The sequence below is a fragment of the Homo sapiens genome, chromosome 11 (genome assembly GCF_000001405.40).
Source record: "Homo sapiens chromosome 11, GRCh38.p14 Primary Assembly".
In the NCBI taxonomy this organism is placed as follows: Eukaryota; Metazoa; Chordata; class Mammalia; order Primates; family Hominidae; genus Homo; species Homo sapiens.
The window spans coordinates 74,011,076-74,031,841 of record NC_000011.10 but is presented as its reverse complement, the minus strand read 5'-3'; the positions used below and the strand labels follow the sequence as shown (position 1 = coordinate 74,031,841).

At 47.6% G+C, this 20,766-nt stretch overlaps 1 protein-coding gene across 1 annotated transcript in view, besides 1 other annotated feature; it reads left to right on the top strand.

Annotated features, from left to right (window-relative positions):
- C2CD3 (C2 domain containing 3 centriole elongation regulator) overlaps positions 1-19,124 on the top strand; it is a 158,285-nt gene extending 139,161 nt beyond the window's left edge. Inside the window, exons 32-33 of the mRNA NM_001286577.2 lie at positions 3,444-3,555; positions 18,317-19,124. Coding sequence (NP_001273506.1) covers positions 3,444-3,555; positions 18,317-18,457 — 253 coding nt within the window. The 3' untranslated portion in view covers positions 18,458-19,124. The remainder of the gene's footprint in view (positions 1-3,443; positions 3,556-18,316) is intronic.
- Positions 19,787-19,936: an enhancer, noted in NCBI's record as "active region_5249". NCBI's record gives its function as "activates an Ori minimal core promoter by ATAC-STARR-seq in GM12878 lymphoblastoid cells {active_cell/tissue: GM12878}" and the evidence as "EXISTENCE:reporter gene assay evidence [ECO:0000049][PMID:35858748]".

Sequence of the window (20,766 nt, the reverse complement as noted above, 5' to 3'; positions counted from 1 at the left end):
CTGGCCCCTAATGTTGCTGCCTTTGCAGTCAGTATTAATTGTGCTCAGAATATGGCCGATGGAGGAGATGCCACATGTGCCCAGACCCTAAGTGCTGCTTTAACTTAGGCCTTCCTGACTATTCTTTCAAAAATAAATCGTGCCAGGCCCTGTGCTGGGTGCCAAGGACAGATTTGAATGAGACCTTACCTCGAGAAGTTCCCATTATGAGATAGGAGACAGTCAAGTAGATAGATACTGACAGTTTATTGTGCCAAGTACTGTGATGAGATGTGGACAGAACGCGAGGGACCATGAGGAGGGAGCTGCCCTAACTCTACTTGGAGCCATCCCAGTAAGAGAGACAGGAGAGCCAGGCCTTAAAGATGAATAGGCATTGTGCAATAGAGACAAGGAAAAGTTCTAGTCAGGACAAACTGTGTGTGCAGAGGCCTCGCTGGGTGAAGGAGGCTGCCTGTGGGCAGTAGTTCACTGTGGCTAGAGTCCAGGGATGAGGGGATGGTGCGAGGTGAGGCAAGGCCTGGATCTTAAAGGACTTCTATACCTGGCTGAGGTACTTGGACTCTATTCTAAAGCAAAGAAACTTCACTTTCCTCATCTGTAAAATGGAGGTGATAATAGTACTTACTGGGTTGTTGTGAAAATGAAAATGAAAATAATCATGTAAACTGCCTAGCACAATACCTGGTACATGAATAGTGTTCACTGTTAAGCAAGAGTGTGGTATGGTCAGATGTACATATGAGAAAAGAAGTCACCCAGTGCCTTGTAGAGAGCAGGTTAAGTAAGGGAAGACTAGAAACAAGGAGGCTAGTTAGGACACTTGCAATAATAACAAGAGATGAAGAAAGTCTGACCTGAAGTATAGACTGCTTTATGATGAAGACGAGGGGAACAGATCTGAGAGGATTAGATAGAGGGGCAGGGGATGAGACAAAGGAAATAGAAAGTGTAATTAGAGGTTTCTGTCACAAGTTACCCGGCAGGTGATATCATTTACTGGATAGGAAACAGCACATAGACAGGTTTGGGAGACGATGCAGATTGCCGTTTGGGGCATGTGCCTGTAGGACATCCAGGAGGAGATGCAGGAGGAGTGAAGTTGAGGGCTGAGCTCAGCCATAAAGGTAGGCATCTCTGGGAGTCGATGAGGGCAGCAAGAAGAGCCTGGGAAGGGGGAACCAAACACACAGAGGCAGACTCTGAGCATCTCCAGTGTGCAAAGAGAAGCAGGACAGGGCATGCCCACAAAGGAGATGAGGAGAGCTGGTCAGGAGGTGGGAGAAGCAGCGGAGAGAGAGGTGCCGTAGGAGCAGATGCTGCAGAGTTTCAGGACGTCGTGGTCAGCACTGACGCTGCACACAGGTCCGGGAGAATGTGGCTGACATGTATCACTGGTTTTAGTGTTAAGGAGGACCTTACAGTGGTGGGAATGGAAGCCAGACTTCATTAGTCAAAGCAGCTAATGGTGAGGACAGTGAGAACAGACAACTTTTTCACATAAACTGAGGAGATAAGAATAGCTGACATTTATCGAGGCACCATTCTAGGCACTTTACATATATAAATTCATTTAATCCTTAAAACAATAAGTACTAATACATTTAAAAATGGAGAAATTGCGGCACAAAAAGTGAACTTTCCTGAAGTTATCCATCTAGTAAGTGACAGAGAGCTGGGTGGTAACTAGAAGACAATGCAAGGTCAGGGGGTTGTTTGTTTGTTTCCCTAAATGGGAAACTTGAACATTTTTATGAACTGAGGAACAGGAATTTAAAGTTCATGAGGCCAGACATAGTGGTTCACACCTGTAATCCCAGCATTTTGGGAGGCCAAGGTGGGAGGATCACTTGAGGTCAGGAGTTCAAGACCAGCCTGGGTAACATGGCAAAATTCCATCTCTACTAAAAATACAAAAATTAGCCAGGCATGGTGGCATGTGCCTGTAATCCCAGCTACTCTGCAGGCTGAAGTGGAAGAATTACCTGAGCCCAGAAGGTCAAGGCTGCAGTGTGCCATGATCACGCCACTGCACTCCAGCCTGAACAATGGGAGTGAGACCCTGTTTCAAAAAACATAACAAAATAAAAGTTGGTGGGAGAAAGTGCCTGTTGGAGCAGGACCCTAAAGCACACATGAGGCAATGGGCTGGGAAAGAGACTTCCATGCTTCAGAGCCAGCCCTGACACCTCACAGCAAAGTTCTTTCTTCCCCACAGCATCAGCTGGCTGTCTGGCAGTCCCCAGCAGTTTCAGCAACAGCAAATAGATCCTACCTCACCTGGGCCTCTGCAGAAGGCCTGGAGTCAAAGGGTCTTTCCCTTCGGGATCTCCATTCCTCCCCCACCTCTCTACAGAAAAATCAGGGACTTGAACCAAAGCAAGAAATCAATGCATTTCATTCATTCACAAGATATTTATTGAGTACTTACTGTCTCCCAGGTACTATGCTAGGTGACAGGAATATGGTTATGAAAGACAGATCATCTCTGCCTTCTTGAAGTTTAGAGTCTAATGTAGAAGAACGACGATAAAATAGGAAATGTGGTAAGCAAATTGGAGTGAGAACCATACTTATTAAACAGAAACAAAAAATTGGAACATCAAAATAGTCCCCTCTTTACCCCCTTCAGAGTTCAACTAAACTGAATCAGTGATTTGATTCAAAAAATACCTGTAGAACACCATATTCTCAACACAGCACTGAGCACCTCAAGAAGATACGGAGGAGAAGTGCAAGATAACAGTACCTGCCTTCTAGGGCTCACATCCAGATTGGACCAGCTGTACTGGTCCCTGACATGAGGACATGTCCCGTCATGGACAGCCCCTGATGCAGAGCTCTCATTTCTGAATGTGAGCAGAGAAAATAGGCAAGCAGGCCCTCCTTCAGTGCAGGGCACCTAAATGCAGCCTAAGGCACTGCCCCCTGGAGCCACATCCCAATCCCCACATCCCCTGACTGACTTCTAATAGGTCTTTTTCTAACTAGCAGGCCCTTAGGCAAGAATCATTCAACGCCTGCTACCTGCCAGCCTCCTGAGGGGCTTTCAGGAAGTAGAGGTAACAGAAGGAAACTGTCTGTGCCATTGAGAAATTTAGGGAAGATTGAGGAAAATAATCATATCAGACTAAATAATTAAGCATTCTCCTGTGTTGCAGACTGCTCTAGGATGTGAGGAAGGAGGGATCACTGTGGGGCTAAGATTAAGAGAAAGCTTCCTAGAGGAGGCCGGATTTGAACTGATCCATAAAAAACTTATATGTGTTAGGAGTGGGCAAGCCTTCCAGTCAGAGGGAGCCAGCTGAGCAAAGAATTTATGGACAAGAATAGTTGAGGGAAAAACATGAGTGGGGGCAGAGTGAATGGTCAGTGGAGATGCTGGCCTCCACTGCAAGAGGGGTGGACTTCTAGGTATTTTTGTCCCTTAACTACCATTGTAGCCCAGGGCCCATTGTGGTGCCCAACTTCTTTTTGCCTCCCCAGCAGTTGGAGGCTTCCCTGCGGATGCTTTCACTCTCAGCAACTTTGCCACCAGCAGCCACAACAGATCAGGTAAGAGAATGGCCAACTGACCTTTCTTCTATAGAGTCATCATCTCTTCCACAGAAGTGTGCACAGAATGCAGAGCTGCCCCAGGTCATCTTCCTGGAAAGGCTGCAGCAGGGGTCACTCCTCAAGTTTGTACTGAGCATATTCTGTGGGCCCAGCAGTGGGCAGGGAGCTCAGGAAAAGTGAGGAAGAGCAAATATGCAAGAGCAGGGCATTGTCAGCCAAGACTGACATGGGGAAGAAAAAAGCTGTGCAGAAGCATGAAAGCAAGAGGCAGCTAAGAAATGTGTATTGAGTGCTGTGGGAGTCCCCACCAAGCAGGTAGATAGGAGCGGAGATGCAACCTTACGGGAGTACAACAGTAAGATCTGGATGAGGAGAATAATATCAGTCGTACAACTATTTGCCATTTACAAAACACCTCATAACTATTCATTCAGCTGAAGTAGGTGGTTGGAACTCTGGTACAAATCCCACATCTCCTCTTTTCTGCCTTGGCAGAGCACCTGAACTTTCTTGCAAGTACCAAGAAAATAAACAATAATAATAACTGCTTAATAATAACTGCTTTTGAGTACCTACCCTGTATCAGGTGTCATGCTGGATACTGAGCATATAGTAGTAAATAAGACAGACAAATTCCCTATCTTCATGGAGCACAAATAATGAGCAAAAAATAAAATATTTATAGACTGATGAGATGAGTACCAGGTGCTGTGATAAAGAACAGGGTCTCTCTGAGGAGGCTGTGTTAAAGATGGTAGTTATGGTGGTGCTTAGCATGTACCAGGCACTGTTCCAAGTACTTTGTATTAACTAATTAAATTTAGCAATCTGATGAGGAATATACTATCATTATGCCTATTTAAAATGAGGAAACTAGGCCAGGCATGGTGGCTCATACCTGTAATCCCAGCACTTTGGGAGGACAAGGTGGCAGGATCACTTGAGCTAGGAAGTTCAAGACCAGCCTGGCCAACATGGCAAAACCCCATCTCTACTAAAAATTACAAAAATTAGGCAGGCGTGGTGGCACGTGCCTATAGTCCCTGCTACTTGGGAGGCTGAGTCACAAAAATCGCTTGAGCCCAGGAGGTGGAGGTTGCAGTAAGCTAAGATGGCGCCACTGCACTCCAGCCTGGATGACACAGCGAGACTATATAAAAAATAAATGAGGAAACTGAGGCTCAGAGCTTCACATACTGACCTACAAGCTATGATTATTTCTGTGTATATATAAAGAAACTGAGATGCCTAAAGGCTGAGTCACTTACCCAGGGTCACCCAACCAGTAAGTGAATCTAAATTTTTTTTTTTTTTTTTTTTTGAGGCTTATTCTGTCGCCAGCTGGAATGTAGTGGTGTGATCTCGGCTCACTGCAACCTCTGCCTCCCGGGTTCAAGCAATTCTCCTGCCTCAGCCTCCCAAGTAGCTGGGACTATAGGCGTGCACCACTACCATGCCCAGCTACTTTTTGTATTTTTAGTAGAGACAGGGTTTCACCATGTTGGCCAGGATGGTCTCAATCTCTTGACCTCATGATCTGCCTGCCTCAGCCTCCCAAAGTGCTGGGATTACAGGCGTGAGCCACTGCGCCCGGCCTGAATCTAAACTTCTGACTCACAACTCTCTGTTCTTCTATTACACCACCTGAAAATCATGACATTTGACTTATGGTACATTTTCCTAGCCAGTTAGATTTTACTTAGCAGTTAACATGTATACATTTTATATGCTTTCCCAGAGGCCACATTAATGAAAAATGGGGTCAGTACAGAAGTATCCTGAGAGTTGTAGTCCTAAAGTTATAGTCCTGGGATACAATCCTAAAGAGAAGCATCAGATGCCTGATCCTCTTACTAGTTTCCTTTCCCCATCCTCTTCCAACCTCCTCAGCACCATTTCAAGATGTCTCATTTTATTTGGCACAGGAATTAATCTTAAGTTCCCACATATCTCTGTTGGTTGTTTTTTTTTTTCCTTGAGACAGGGTCTCACACTGTTGCCCAGACTGGAGTGCAGTGGCGTGATCACAGCTCCCTGCACCCGCAAACTCCTGGGTTCAAGTGATCCTCTGCCTCAGCCTCTCGAGTAGCTAGGACCACAGGTGTGCACCACCACAACCAGCTAATTTTTTTCTTCTTAGAGACGGGGTCTCACTGTGTTGCCCAGGCTACATCTCAGTTTTTATCAGGTTTGTAAATCCTCTCGTAGGGGAGGAGAAGTGTCAGTCCTGTCCAGGAAGATCTGCAGTTTTGTGGCCTTTCTTACTACTCCGGTTTGTGGTCACCAGCTCATCTCCTTCCTCTCTGTGCTTTCCCTTGCATTTCCCACACACACCCATCACATTTATGCTGGGGTCATAGGGCTGTGTCCAGGCTTTGGAGCAAGACATCCATGGAGTGAAATACTGAATCTGCTAGTAAGTGATCTTAGGCAAGTGACTCAACCTTCCCGAGACACACTTTCCTTAAAAGTAATGTCAGGCTAATAATTCATACCTAATAGGATGATGGTGAGAATTACCCTAGAGGAAAAAAGCAGGCCCTCTTAGCTCCCTTTCCCTCCAGCCCTCGTATCCTCCCTACTCCCACAGTATAGTGGATACAAGTCCCTGTGTGACATTAGACAAGCCTTCAGGCCTCTCTGAGTCTTGGATGAACTGTCAGCGAGTCATGCCCCACAGGAAAGGTCTCTGGGCCGCTTTGAATGGCCATCCCTCACCTTCCAAGCAGAATTGCTGTTCCTGCTTTTGTGTTTTTGCCTTTGAAATATGCCAACTCCTAGGGGCATTTTTAGTATTTTTAGTAAAAATACTAAATATTTTTACTCCCAGGAGCATTTTTGTATTTTTAGTAGACAGACAGGGTTTCACCATGTTGGCCAGGATGGTCTCAATCTCTTGACCTTGTGATCCGCCTGCCTCAGCCTCCCAAAGTGCTGGGATTACAGGCGTGAGCCACCACGCCCAGCCTGAATCTAAACTTCGCACTCACAACTCTATGCTCTTCTGTTACACCACCTGAAAATCATGACATTTGACTTATGGTACATTTTTCTAGCCAGTTGGATTTTAACATGTATACATTTTATATGCTTTCCCAGAGGCCACATTAATGAAAAATGGGGCCAGTCCAGAAGTATCCTGATGTATGTCTTTGGTCTATTAAATACTAGATACAAAGTATGGGAGAGGGAGAAATAAGAATTTCTACTTCAATTAAAGAGCAAGTCTACTTTTGAGAAGATAATACTTTTCAGCCTTTTTTCTTTGTTGCCCTTAACAACATTCCATTGTTTGCTGCTCTCAGAGCCACTTATGTCCTTAGAACCTTATTCTGGGTCCTGGTTCGGATGACCAGTCATCATGGTTAGCCCAGAACTGATGCAGTTTTAGCACTGGAACCCAGGATCCAGGAAACCCAGGGAGGTTAGTCATCCTGGCTAGTGATGGGCCTCTCTCACTACTTGATGGGTTATTGCAGCACATTTTCTCAGAATCTTACGCTCCTGGCTGGCTGCCAGCCAGCACTGGATGGCCTAAGAAATAAGATCATGTATGTATTTAGGACACTAGCAAGTAGAGATACCAAAATTTAAGAGGAAAACATTTTTAAGAATTACATTTTTTAAAAAGATTGAAATCATTACCATGGGATAAATCACAACATCAACTGATTTTCTTATACTTATTTTAGATTTAATTTTGAAATATTATTTGAGCAGGAGCACCATCATCTTGTGGCCTTTATTAAAAAGGCCTCACTTTGAAGAACTTGAGACAAAAATAGTCTTTTCTGTTTACCCACATACTTACTATTGCTGTTGTTCTGCATTTCTTCTTCACATCCTGATTTCTGGCTGGGACCATTTCCCTTCAGCCTGAAAAACTTCTTTGGAATTTCACATAGTGTGGACCTACTGGTAACTGGTTATCCAGCTTCAATTGTCTGAAAATATCTTTATTTTTGAAAGATTTTTTTTCTACTGGATATAGAATTCTAACTTGAATTTTTGTTGTTTCTTTTAGCATTTTAGAGATACCTTTCCACTGTCTTCTGTCCTCCATTGTTTCTTATAAGAAGCATTGTTCTGATTGTTCTTGCACTGGATGTAACATGACCTTTATTCACTTCTTGTTTGATTTTCTCTTTATCTCTAGTTTTCAACAGTTTGATTACAGTGTTCATAGTTGTGGAGGTAGGGAATGGGATAGAAGCAGGGGAATGGGATAGGGGAGGAGGAACATAAAGATCTGTTCAACAGTATTAGAGATGTTTCGATTCTTAGATTGGGTTGTGGGTTTACAGATGTTCATTTTCTTGTGCTTCATGATTTACTGTTGTTACATAGATTCATTGGTATTCATTGGTATGAAATCACATAATCATATGTCATTAAAATTATACAGTGATTGAATGATAACAAGATGGAGACACCAACTCCTTCCACAAATTAGGCTGTGAATATGGAGCAGAGAAATAGGACAGTGGCTGGAGTGGCATGCGAGACCAAGGGAGGTTGTTTTTGTTTTTTAATATGGGAAGGCTGCAGCTTTCTATGTGCTAATGCAATGATCCCATAGAGAAAGGGAGAAGGGGAAGACACAGGAGTGGGAGAGAAAAAGGAGAGGGGGAAAAGAAAGGGTGTGGGATTTAGAGCACACATGGAGGTATTGGCCTTTTGAGAGGAAAAAGAAAACTCACCCAATATCATGAAGGAAGGCAGAGAAGATGGGTGCTAAAGCAGACAGGATTAGAGATTGGTGGTAGGGTTTCAAGTTGATGGAAGTTCCTGTTTTCTCAGTGATGCTTCAGGCACAGTCAGCAGCTCTAAGTGAGAGGGAGTGAGGCAAGGGCAGGAGCCCTGTCCTGTATCCACATTTGAGAATTCCACCTCTTCTGCCTCCTCCTAAGGCCAGCCTTGGCCCTCACAACTGAAGAGGAGCACTTTGAGAGGCTGCAGGGCTCTTCTCAACCACTGTCCTAGGACTGCTATACTAAAGCTGATCTGCTTCCGGGTCAGGGCTAACAGCCCATCCCTGAAACAGGAGAGGGCTCGTAATTGCTGGATTGATTGCCCTGGTTTCCCCACATGATCGAAGACAAGACCTGATCTTTCACTCCACACTGAAATGATATACCTGAGCCAAGGAACCTCCCAGTCTCCACTGGAAGCATCTGTGAAACAGATTTCCCCTCCCTCCTCCCACAGTAGAGTGGATACAGGAGCCTGTATGACATTCGTCAGATCTTTGGACTTTTCTGAGTCTGCTTTCTCATCTGTCAAATGGGGTTATCAGGCCTCACAGGGTGGTTGTACTGTAGAATAACGAGTGCCACACAGGTAGAGTATAGGGGCCAGCCCATAATTCCCACCCCATGCTACTTCAACTTCTGGCTGTCGCCTCTGCAAAAAGAAAAGGGGTGAGAACGATGGCTGGTTTAGCAGGACTGCAGCACAGCGATCCATTTGCAGTTCCAAATTCATTATAAATCAATCAAGTTCCGCTGCCCCTGCTTTCTCTTCCCTCTTGTGATGAAGTAACTCTTTACTGGGACAGCTTCCTGATTTTGTTAAAAGTTTTTTGTGATTCTGCTTGCTCAGCTGCTGATGGACAAACTAGTTTTATCAACTTCCATACAGGGGAGGAGAGAGGTTGACGATGAGAACGGCAGTAATTTGCTTTACATGTTGTCTTCCTCAGACTGTGTCTTCTGCTCTGTAGATTTTCACTCTTGGGAATATCTCAATCACTCTGATGACTTCAAATATGACTTTGAATGACTCTCAAATCCTTATCTTCAGTCTAGTCTTCTCTCTCATGCCGCAGACACGTACGGACCCACCTGCATCCTAGACGTCTTGTCCGATGTGTCACAAACAATTCACTCTGTCCAAAACTTGAGCTTGTCATCTTCCTTTGCATACTTCCTCTGCCACCTGCATCCATATCTCAGGAAATTCAGCCACCATCCATGTAGTTACTCCTGCCAGAAGCACAAGTATCTCTCACCCCTGCTCCTTTATCCCCCATGACCCACAGCCAAGATCCACATCACCAAGGCCTGTTAATTCTGCCACCTAAGCATCTTTTGAATCACTTACTTCTCACCCTGCCCTGTCTAGCCCAATCATCTCCCCACTATTTCTTTTTTTTTTCCCCGAGACGGAATCTCACTCTTGCCCAGGTCGGAGTGTGGTGGTGCGATCTCAGCTCACTGCAACCTCTGCCTCCCGAGTGCAAGCAATTCTCCTGCCTCAGCCTCCCCAGTAGCTGGGATTATAGGCGCGTGCCATCACGCCCAGCTAATTTTTGTATTTTTAGTAGAGATGGGGTTTCACCATGTTGGCCAGGCTGGTCTCGAACTCCTGACCTCAAGTGATCTGCCCGCCTCAGCTTCCCAAAATGCTGTGATTACAAGCGTAAGCCACTGCGCCCAGCCCCCCCGACTATTTCTAACCAGTCTCACTTATACTTGCACTTTTCCACCACCATTTATTCTCCACACTGTAGCCAGTGTAATATCACACTCTAATCAGATCTTACCTCACTTTACCACTGGCAGGGGGAACACTCTTTAAGCCTGTCAAAACCCCAAAAAACTTCCATATTCCTAAGTCAATTATCAAATCTCAGTGCCTGATTGCATGTGACACAGTTGATCTCTCTCCTTTGAACACTTTCTTCACTTATTTCTAAGGCATCACTTCTTCTTGGTTCTCCTCCCTCACTGGCTGCTCCCGCTCTGCCTTGTTTGCTGGGTCTCCCTCATTTCCCCTACTTCTTCTTCTATATGCTGAAGACTCCCGATGGTTAACTTGGCCCAGACCTAACTCTACAACTGTAACTCTACAACTGCCTACCCAGCATCTTCACTTGAATATCTAATAGATGTCTCAAATTTAACATGTCCAAAATTGAGCTCCAGATTTTATTCCCAAATCCATTTCCCCTTCAGTCTTCTCAATTTCGATTAAAGGGTACAGCTGAACTCTGGAGGGGGGTGGTGTTTTTTGTTTGTTTGTTTGTTTGTTTGTTTTTTGAGACAGGGTCTCCCTCTGTTGCCCAGACTGGAGTGCAGTGGCATGATCTCGGCTCACTGCAAACTCCTGGGCTCAAGTGATCTCCTGCCTCAGCCTCCTGAGTAGCTGGGACTCTAGTTGAGTTGTTCAGACCAAAACTCTTGGAATCCTCCCTGATGCCAGTTTTCAATTAAACAGGAAATTCTGGCAGCTCTATCTTTAAAATATACAGAAATGTGCTTCTCACCACCCTGGTCTCAACCATCATTATTTCTGGCCTAGATTATTGCAGTAACCTCCTAACTTGCCTTTCTGCTGCTTCCCTTGCTCCTCACAACCCATTCCCCATACAGCATCCTGTTAACTTTTTAAGACGTTAAATCAGTCATCAACTCAATCATGTGACTTCTCTGCTCAGAACCTTCCAATAACTTCCCGTCATTGAATAGGAGAACTAGAGCTGGGCCTGAGGATAGGCAGGCCAGAAAGTAGGAAGATAGTTTTGACCTCAGACTTGAAATTTGCATCTTTTAACAAATGTGCAAAGCCACAGTCCTGAGCTAGGTGCAGAAGACAGGAGCTTCCCTCGGGGAACTCACAGTTCCCTGGGGAGCCAGCCTTATATCTAAGTTCCTCCAACTCCTGCCAACTGCCTGTCATGCTGAAAGAGCTAGGACCCTCATGCTGTGGACCCTGCCTTTAGGGAGCTCGCAGTTCTTGGAAACGCACTGGACTCCAAACCACTCATTTCCTCAAATGACATTTGCCTATATTAGCACTGAAGTAAAGCAAAGGGAATGAGTATAGGAAAAGAAAGACAGAGCCATGTGGGGTGGCTTAAGTTGAATTCAACAAAGATAAAGGAAAGGCTTTTCATGCTGTGGATTTGAAAAGAAGAAACCTTAGAATCAACAGAAGTTGGACAGCAGAAGGTACAAGCACTGTGTGCTAGAGACATGGTCAGAAATGGGAAGAGATGGGCCTGGACTGAAACAAGATAGGAATTAGAAGCAAAGGACAAGAAGCAGCCTGTCTTCTGAGCCTTGGCCTCCCTGCCCTGTCCACATGGCACTTCTTTACCATGAGGTGAGCCTTGTCTTGCTCTGTGCCTTCCTGTGTTAAGCCCACGCTCTGCCCACATCATGAATGGGCCCCTGGATTAACCACAGGCATCGGGCCAGACACTGTTATTCATAAGGAGTGAGTGTAGGAGGCAGAAAGTATGAGACAAGGCCAGGCATGAGGGTACCCTTAAAACCTTGAGTTTTCCACCCACTCCCACCCGATGTTCTCACTTGTACTCAGCCAGACCACAGCACTTCAGACATCACTAAGGATCGAGGTGCCAGCAAGCCTGATTTTTTTGTCCTGTCTCTGCTTATGACTTTCTGAGGTCCTCAGCAACATGTCTAAACCAAGGGATAGAATTTTTCTATCCTGGCACCTCTAATCCCAGCTACTTGGGAGGCTGAGGCATGAGAATCACTTGAACCTGGGAGGCAGAGGTTGCAGTGAGTCAAGATGGTGCCACTGCACTTCAGCCTGGGCGACAGAGTGAAACTGTGTCTGAAAAAAAAAAATCTATCCTTTGGTTTCCTTTCCACAAACCAGAAGCAGCTGAAAGATAAATAGTCCTGGTAGAGAATCCCAGCTCTCCACAAAGCCACCAGATCAGATCAGTAGGGGGCCTGAGGGAACTTACTGATCCTGGGTTTCTTCTCAGCCTGTGGTCCAGGCCTGACGGCTGAGCTGCCCCTCTTGGGGCAAGAGGTCCTGACCTATTGCCTCATTTCATTAAACCACCAAGTCCCTAGCTTTCTGCAGAGCCTAAGAGAGACCTAAAGGTCAAAGTATCTCTGATAAAGGCCATACAGAGCTTTTAGAAGATAAGCAACTTGGCCACGGGTGTATAGAGGTCAGGAGAAACAGCCAAAATTGGCTGGCGCCACCCTGGCCCAGACTGCAAGTTGGCAGACACTTTTTAGGAAGGGGCTCATAGGTCTGCTGGGCAGGTGCTAGTCTCAGGTTGCCTGAGCCACTCTGAGGCCAGAGTCCAGGAGGAGCCAGGAGCTCTTCTTGTAAGAGTATAACTTTTAACCCTTCCCTCTCAAAACCTGGACTTTGGAGCCCTCTCTCTGGCAGAGCTTGGGTTCAGAAGATTGAGGATCATCTTTTGAACCAGGCCCTGTTTAAAAAAACAAACAAAAAAAAGGGTTGAGGAGTCTTGCCCTAGTCAGGCCCCTTCGTAGCATAGACTAAGGCCCAGGGTGAGGGAGTGACGTAGGCCCTGTAGAATGGGCCTGTCCGGGAAGGCTTCTTGGAGTAAGGAGAGGGTGGCATCAGGTGGGGTGTGGCACGGAGGGAGCATATCGGTAATAAGAACCACATGACCAGACCTCTAATTTAGGCATGGAGGGTGAGCTCAGAGCATGAGACCAGAGCCATGCGGCAGCCGGGCTGAGCAGGTCAGATTTGGGATTTGCCTCTCAGGGCTGGGCCTCTAGTCTAAGTGCCTTGTCCTCACTTCCCCTCTGCTCCTACTTGTGGCTGCTGAGTTTGCTGCTCTCTGTAGTATCAAGGAAGTTCTAGTCCAGGCCAGACTCTGAGAGCCACCCCAGGGAAAGGCAGCCAGCCAAAGGGGTGAAAGTTGAGCAAGGCAGGCAGCTATATTGAGCCCTCACTCGGCCTCTGATGCAGCAATCCATTGGCAGGTCCACCTAGCCAGCCAGACCCAGGCGGCTGTTTACTTTCAGTTTTCAGCTCCTGAGTCAATGTTTATGTCACTTAAAGGGGCTACTGTGGAAAAGAACAGAACTTTAGCCCTCATCCCAGACCAGAGGCTCACTGTTACCAAAGAAGGGGGGAAGACAGTGGGGCGGGGAGAACTTGCCTGGTCTAGCACTGCTTACCTCAGTACAGGAGATCCTGTACCCCAGCTCTACTCAGGACTTTTGGGGCCTGACCCTTTGCCAGGGATGGGGTCTGAGAACAGCAAGGCTTCATTTTGCTCTTGGGTCTGCAGCTGGTATTGGCTCTAGCTCCATCTTAGCCTCTGTGTTTTGTAAGATATTATACCTGGTCAGAACCTCGGCCATATCTGAATTTTATTTGAACCCAGCATAGACCTGGATAAGAAGACCAAACAGAAGTTCTTAGATCCACTTGACAGTGAAGCTAAGACCCAGAGAGACCCAGAGTGAGAAAGCATCTTGGTCTTGAGTGAGTGAGACAGTTAGGTTGGGCCACAGACCAGTGTCCCTTCCACTGCACTCCATTGCCTGTCCTCTGAGAAAGTCCCTCAGATACTTGGAAGCAGGGGTAAGTGGGGGCACCTGTACCCACCAACCCCTGGGAGCATGTGGCCTGTTCGAGGAATCCATCTGGGGGCTGGAGTGAAGAGAACCTAGAACACAGTGGCTGGGATCAGATCATGTTCCAGGCCAAAGAAGAGGGCCAGGCCCTCCTGAGAGAGCTTTTGGAGAAGAGTCTGCATCACAGGGAGCAGACCAGAGAAGGAGCCAAGGGCCGGGATAAGCCCGTGGTTTATAGAGTGCCTCCTCTTGCATTATCTGCTCATCCTGATCCCATTCAGATGCACAAACCAAGGCCCAAAGAGAAGGTGGGTTGCCCAACACCGCTTGGCTAAGAAGTGGTAGAGCCAGGACTAGAACCAGCTCCTTATGCAGGGTTAGCCACTCAATTTGAAGAGCCTCAGGAAGCCCCACATTTTCTTTCCAAACCACTCCTTACACCTTCCACGTGCTCCATTTTCTCCCCAGCAAAGTCTGATCTTTAGCATTGAAGGCTCTTTTAAGACACATCTATTATCAGAGAGGCCTATCATGTTCATGACCTGGGTGTCCAGGTACTCAGAAAGGAACAGGTCCCATGTATGGATGAGGTAGGATTTAATGGGGCAGCCTGAAAGCCCCTGGCCTACTGCCGTGCTTGACACCCGGTCCACAGGAAAGCCAGTTCTGTCCTTCAGCCTAGTACAGTCGTCAAATACCCCATCCCTGTTCCCTGGGAAGGCCCTTACAGATCAGCTCGCTGAAGTCCAAGAAGAATAAGATCAAATTCCCCCCAGACATTCTGGAACTTCCTCAACCAGCATCAACCCCTCTTCTAGTAATAGGTTTGTCTTGGCTGTTCTCCATACCTGCAGCTCAGCCTATCCACCCCCACCACTTTCCTAGCAAAGAAAATTCCTTCCTCACAAAACCTGCACCTCCACGTGGCATACCCTCTCTCTTCATTGTCTGTTCACATTCCACCTTCATGTTTAAGTTCCCGCTCCAGGGACTTCACCCCATGGATGACACCCGCTGTCTAGACTCCAAGGCACCTGCAGCCCCTCCAGCTACGACGATCCTGCTTCCATGTGTGTTCCTCCTGCCTCCCCAGGAAGGTTGATGCCTCCCACAAAGCCCATGTTCTGCTGACAACTTTCTTGTGCCCTCAGGTCTACAGCCAGAAGTGTAGGAGTATTTCAGAGGAATGGATGATACATTTGAGGGTATCCCTGCTCTGGCCAATTTCGCCTCTGGCCAACCCCACCAGGGTTGTGTGTTAGGGTAGCAGTCCTGATGAAGGAAGAATCTTCACTACTAGTCAAGATGGTTTCTAAACCCTATTGAGGTCAACAAAAGCAAAATGCTGCTGAGTGTGAGTTCTCTGTCCTTCCACACCCCGCCCCTGCCCTGTACACAGAGCCAAGCCCTGTCCTTGTCCTTGTTCTGATTCCTGGGCCTGGGCCTTGCAGATAAGGCCCCCTAGGTCATTGGGTTAGGGTATCAGTGCTGGAAGGTTGGTGCCACACACGATTCAGCTCCAGGGCAGATATGGCCCAGCCAGTAGGTGTAGGTCTGTGCTCATGCTGTTCCCTCTAATGAAAGACCTCACCTGACAGCCAGCTTCTGTTGAGACCTTGCCCATCTTGGAGCCCACCTCCTGTGAAGCCGCCCCAGACTTTCTCAGCTGTTACTAATTGCTATTTTCTCAGTGCTCACAAGCTCTAAGCTTCATCTCTGTGATTGTTGGGTAGCTCATTGTCTGTCTTCTCTCTAGCTGAGCAGCCCTATGACAACAGGAACCACGTCTGCCTGTTGTCCATAAGAGTTGATCAAGTTGATTAGATCTTAGGCTCCTGAAAAGTTTGATGAGTCACCAACAGAGGTGTTTTGTTTTGAGACAGGGTCTTCCTCTGTCACCCAGGTTGGAGTGCAGTAGCATGATCATGGCTTACTGCAGCCTTGAATTCTTGGGCTCAAGCGATCCTCCCACCACAGCCTCCTGAGTAGCTGGGACCACAGGTGTGCACCACTACACCCTGCTAATTTTTTTTTTCCTTTTTTTTTTTTTTTGAGACAGGGTTTCCCTATGTTGACCAAGCTGGTCACAAACTCCTAGACTCATGCGATCCCCCTGCCTTGGCCTCCCAAAGTGCTGGGGTTACAGACGTGAGCTACCCAGCCCAACAGAGGTCTTTTTATGGTCATTTCATGAACTGAGGTAGTTGGCCCTTCCAGCCATGGAGAACAAGACTCATCTAAGTCTCTCTAAAACAGAGAAGACATCTCTTCTAGAAAATGGGGAAACAAATGCCTGGTTTTAGGATTTGAGATAGAATACTATGCTCTAAGGCCTGTTTTCCCATCTGGCTCATAAAACAAACATCTCCCTACTTCCCCTTCAGAGTAGCAGAGAAAGAAATGGAAGGTAAGATACAACTGATGACCCAGAAAATCTACCTGCAGTACAGCTGGGGGTCAGGAATGGGACTTGTGTCATCCTAAATCCCAAATAGCTCAGGAAACAGCCATCTTGGATCTTGGGAGTAGAGAAAGATATACACAAGCTTAAAGTGCTACATAGAGCCTGAGAGAGTTTAACTTAACTAAAGACCTGGCATATGGTAGGACAACAACCACTGGTTCTAGAATGAATGAATGAGAAGCTTACTACAAAGAGTCTCCTCCCCACCCAATTTAAACCTGTGGTTACCCTGGCCTGGTCCCACCCACACTGGTCTAGCAGCTCCCAGGCTCCTGTCTTGGAACTGGCCTCGCTGGGATCCCAAGCCTCAGACCCAGGCCGTGCCCTGCAGGAGCACCCAGTGTGGAAGTGGGAGAGCAACAGGCAGAGGCTGGCCACTGGCCTCCCCTGGTCTGAGGCATCATGCAGTGCAGGTGCTTCCTGTATTTTGGAAGGAAGAACTGCAAACACCAGCAAAAAGTGGGTTTCCTTCTTCCCTTCTAGCCTAGACCTGCCTAGAAGGCAGGGAGATAGATCTTCTAGTCTCTGCTGTGCAGCCCAGCCCTAGTATCACTTTGCTCTTGGTTATAAGGAAAGGCTGCCTGTGGGCTCATAGCACTGAGAGCTTCCCAGATTGTAGACATTCCCTTGGCACTTAGAATTCTAGACTGGCAGGGACCCTCAAGGTTTCCCATCCACACTTCTATTTCATGGGTGGGAAACTGACATCCAGGCAGTAGATCAGGGATGCCTGACTCCACTCCCCTTATCTCATTCTGGCAATTCTAATTCTTTAGGCAGATCTCTCTGCCTCCAGGGCTTAACTCTGAGCTGAGAAAGCCTAAAACGGAGTTCTGTTTATTTCTGCGCCCCTCTCAAGTAGGTATTAAAAAAGATTGAAGACATGAAAGAAAGAATAACTGAATGTTACTGATGCCAGAAGCAACTCTCGCTGGGCGCAACTCTCGCTGGGCGCAACTCTCGCTGGGCCTCAGTTTCTCATGAGCAGAACTGCAGGGGGTAGGTGGTCCCAGTCTCTAGGGTCTCCACCAAGCTTCTTCTCAGTGCCCAGGAAGTGGTACAGTGTGCTCTCAATAGTCCTTCAGCTTATGACAGCCTCAGCTCATGGGACTTGATGACAGGGAAGAGCAAGCTGCATGCCATGAAGTCAGCCAGGTTTGCCTGTGGAGGCTGCTCCCATCTCCTTTCAGAACTGCCCCCTCCCCTATCAGGCCCCCACTTCTTCCCCAGGGCCTTGCTCTCAGCCAGCTGTCTGGGATGGCTTTCCTGTATAGCTTTGAGCTCCTTCAGCACAGGAGCCTGACATGGAGTAAGAAAAAAGAAAGAAAAATGAGTTAGAGGAGTCCAGAGGACCATGATACCATAGCCCACAGGTTTAAGTACCTTAAAGGCGGAATTAGTGATGCCCTGTCAGCCAGAGTCAGAGAGATCAAAGTTTGGTAGCCAAGCAGTAGGTAGGTGCTTTATGTCACCTGGCAACTCCAGGAGCTCCAAAGGGCCAAACAGAGAGTGTATTATTCACCGCCATCTCCCTGAGAGTTGGATATGTTCCCAGCATCACACATGGGACTAAACCCAGAGGACAAATGACTTGTCTAAAGCCATGCAACAGGAGAAGGGATGAGGATTCAAACCTATCCTGGAGGTGACGCTGCCTCCTTCTCCAGAGGCACAGAAAGAGTCAGGGCTGGGGTTCACGTCCCAGCTCTGCTACTCAGAGCTGTGGGACCTTGAGTTTATTCCACCTGAATGTAGTTTCCTTATCCACGACATGGGGAGAATGATATACCCCCCATATGGGGTTGAGGTAAGGGTCAAGCAAGATAAGGTACGTAAAGCGCTTTGTAAACCAGGCAGCTCTACATAAATATTAACCAAAGGACCAAAAGATGAGAGAAACCAGCGTCATCCATTGGTGGTGCCATATCCTCAGTGGTAACCTAGCTGACTTCTTCCTCTCCAGGACAAGAGCGAAGCCACCAGGGGAGCTCTCTCCCAAAGGCCTTGTCGCCCCAGACCTAACTCGCTCCCCCTCAACCTGCCTGAGGAAGAAACTCTCAGGATTGCACGGATATTTTCTTCTCAGTACTCCCAGAAAGACTGACGCAGCCTGAGGGGCTGGGGGGAAGGAGACACCTGCCCACCCTCCGTCAGCTTTGTCCAGCTTGCAGGAGGCACCAGGTCTGGCTCCTTCAGGGCTGTCACAGTCCTGAAACCACCACTTGCCTAGGCCACGGATGCCTCAAGAGACCCGGTCAGCCCAGACTGGAGGAGTGCCCCAAACCAGTCCAGTGTCCACTTGCCAGAATTTCAGCTCCTTTTTTCTGTGGTGAGGCAAAGGCTAGAAATAAAATGGAATCCGCGCCCAAGTGGGACCCAAGCAGGCATCTTTCGGTGGAGAAACGCCCCCCAGTGTCCTTGACACAGCTGACTGCTGGCATGAGCCCACCCTCTGCCTGAAGATGCAGGACCATTTTTGCCTTAAAAGTTGGGGAGGAGGGACATGTAGATTGTGTGCATTGTGCATAGTCAAGGAAATCCTAGGGCCACCTCCAGTTCATTTGTGTGGGAACAAGGATATTTTATAGATACAAATTATTTTTATGCTGTGTTGAATTAATCAATTAGGAGAGGAAGGGGAAATCACTTCCTTCAAACTTTTTATCTGATTGTCTAAAATTCTAACCATGCTTTTAACTTATTATTTTTACCCAGCTCTGAAGGTCATTGTTCTTGCCTGTGTTTGAATAAAATCATATTGGTGTTTGTAATCTGTGCACAAGTGTTTCGCTGGAGTGGGGATGCTAGGAATTCGTGTGTGCCCTAACTGCCAGAGAGAAAGATTAACAACCATACACCCCACGCAGACGAAGATCAATCACCATGAGACTTCTGGCTCCTCCAGAATCAGGTTGGTCCAGATGACAGTGACACCCAGTATTTCCTTTGCTGATGCTTGAAATCCATCAGACAAAGCCCCGTGGGGAGGACAAGAAAAGGGCCATGGATGGGTGCAGTGGCTCACACCTGTAATCCAAACACTTTGGGAAGCCGAGGCAGGCAGATCACCTGAGGTCAGGAGTTTGAGACTACCCTGGCCAACCTGGCAAAACCCCGTCTCTACTAAAAAAAAAAAAAATACAAAAATTAGCTGGGCGTGGTGCACGCCTGTAGTCCTAGCTACTCAGGAGGCTGAGGCAGGAGAATCACTTGAACCCAAGAGGTGGAGGTTGCAGTGAACCGAGACCACGCCACTGCACTCCAGCCTGGACAACAGAGCAAGACTCCGTATCACAAAAAAAAAAAAAAAAAATGGGGTCGCGGGAGCCAAATGTGCAGAGTGAGCAGTGTGGCTGGGCAACAGGCTTTCACCCCCAAGTACATGTCACTTCACTCAGTCCTCAAAACAGCTCTCTAACTCTAGATATTATGATATCTAGAGTTTCTGTAAGTTCAGTGTTTTGCCTCTGTTTGTGTAGTTAGGAAGTGATTAACCACACAAGAAATCCCAGAGGTATTGCAAGGCTACTGCTTTCAGTAATCAAAACAAGGTACAGCCAATAAGTGCTCTGAATTTAGGGACTTCATGGAGAAAGACCATGTGGGCTGGGGCAGTCAGGGAAGGCTTCCTAGAAGAGACAGGTCTTGGGGTGAGCACAGAGAATTGGCCCAGGCTGTGGACAGCTATAGAGAGAGAGCCAGGAAAGCCTGTGAGCAGTGTGCAGCTGGAGATAGAGACCAGTCTCACTGCGTCTGAGCCTCTGTGGCCTCGTCTGTAAAACAGAGATAATCACCCCAGCTTCATGGGGTTGTGAGGAAGATCAAATGAGATGACATTTGTGAAAGTGCTTCGCCTACTTTTGGCACATGGTGGAAGCTTAGGAAATGTCAGCCCCACCCACTCTCCTGACTTTCGGGAGCAAACCAGTAGAGAGGCAAGCATGCAGCCACTGGGGCAGGCAGAGCACTCCTGGGCCTCAGAGGGTGCAAAATGATGCGGGAACCTCAAGGAAGGAGTGGGTGCTGCCTTCTTGGTGACAAGCCCTCCCGCTTCTATTTATCTCTGCTCCGACGCCTGCCAGCCCACCCCTCCCCAGCACCACAGAGGCCAGCCTCCCTCTCAAGTCACCAGCACAGAGCATTCAAGGCCCAGGGCCCCACTTCCCTTGGGGCCCAGGGGACCTAAAGAGGGGCAGTCAGGGCCCAGGCCTGAGGGGGAAAGCCCCAGGTAAAGAATATTCCTCCAAATCCCACTCCAGCTCCCGCAGACAACCTGATCGGGGTCAGGAGGACACACTCCTACCCCAGGCTGAGAGCAGCCTCTGATAACACAAAAGGACCCTGAGGGTGGAGACCTCCCACCTCCACTTCAAAACAGTGTGTTATTTATCAATATCTTATCCCCGGAAGTTG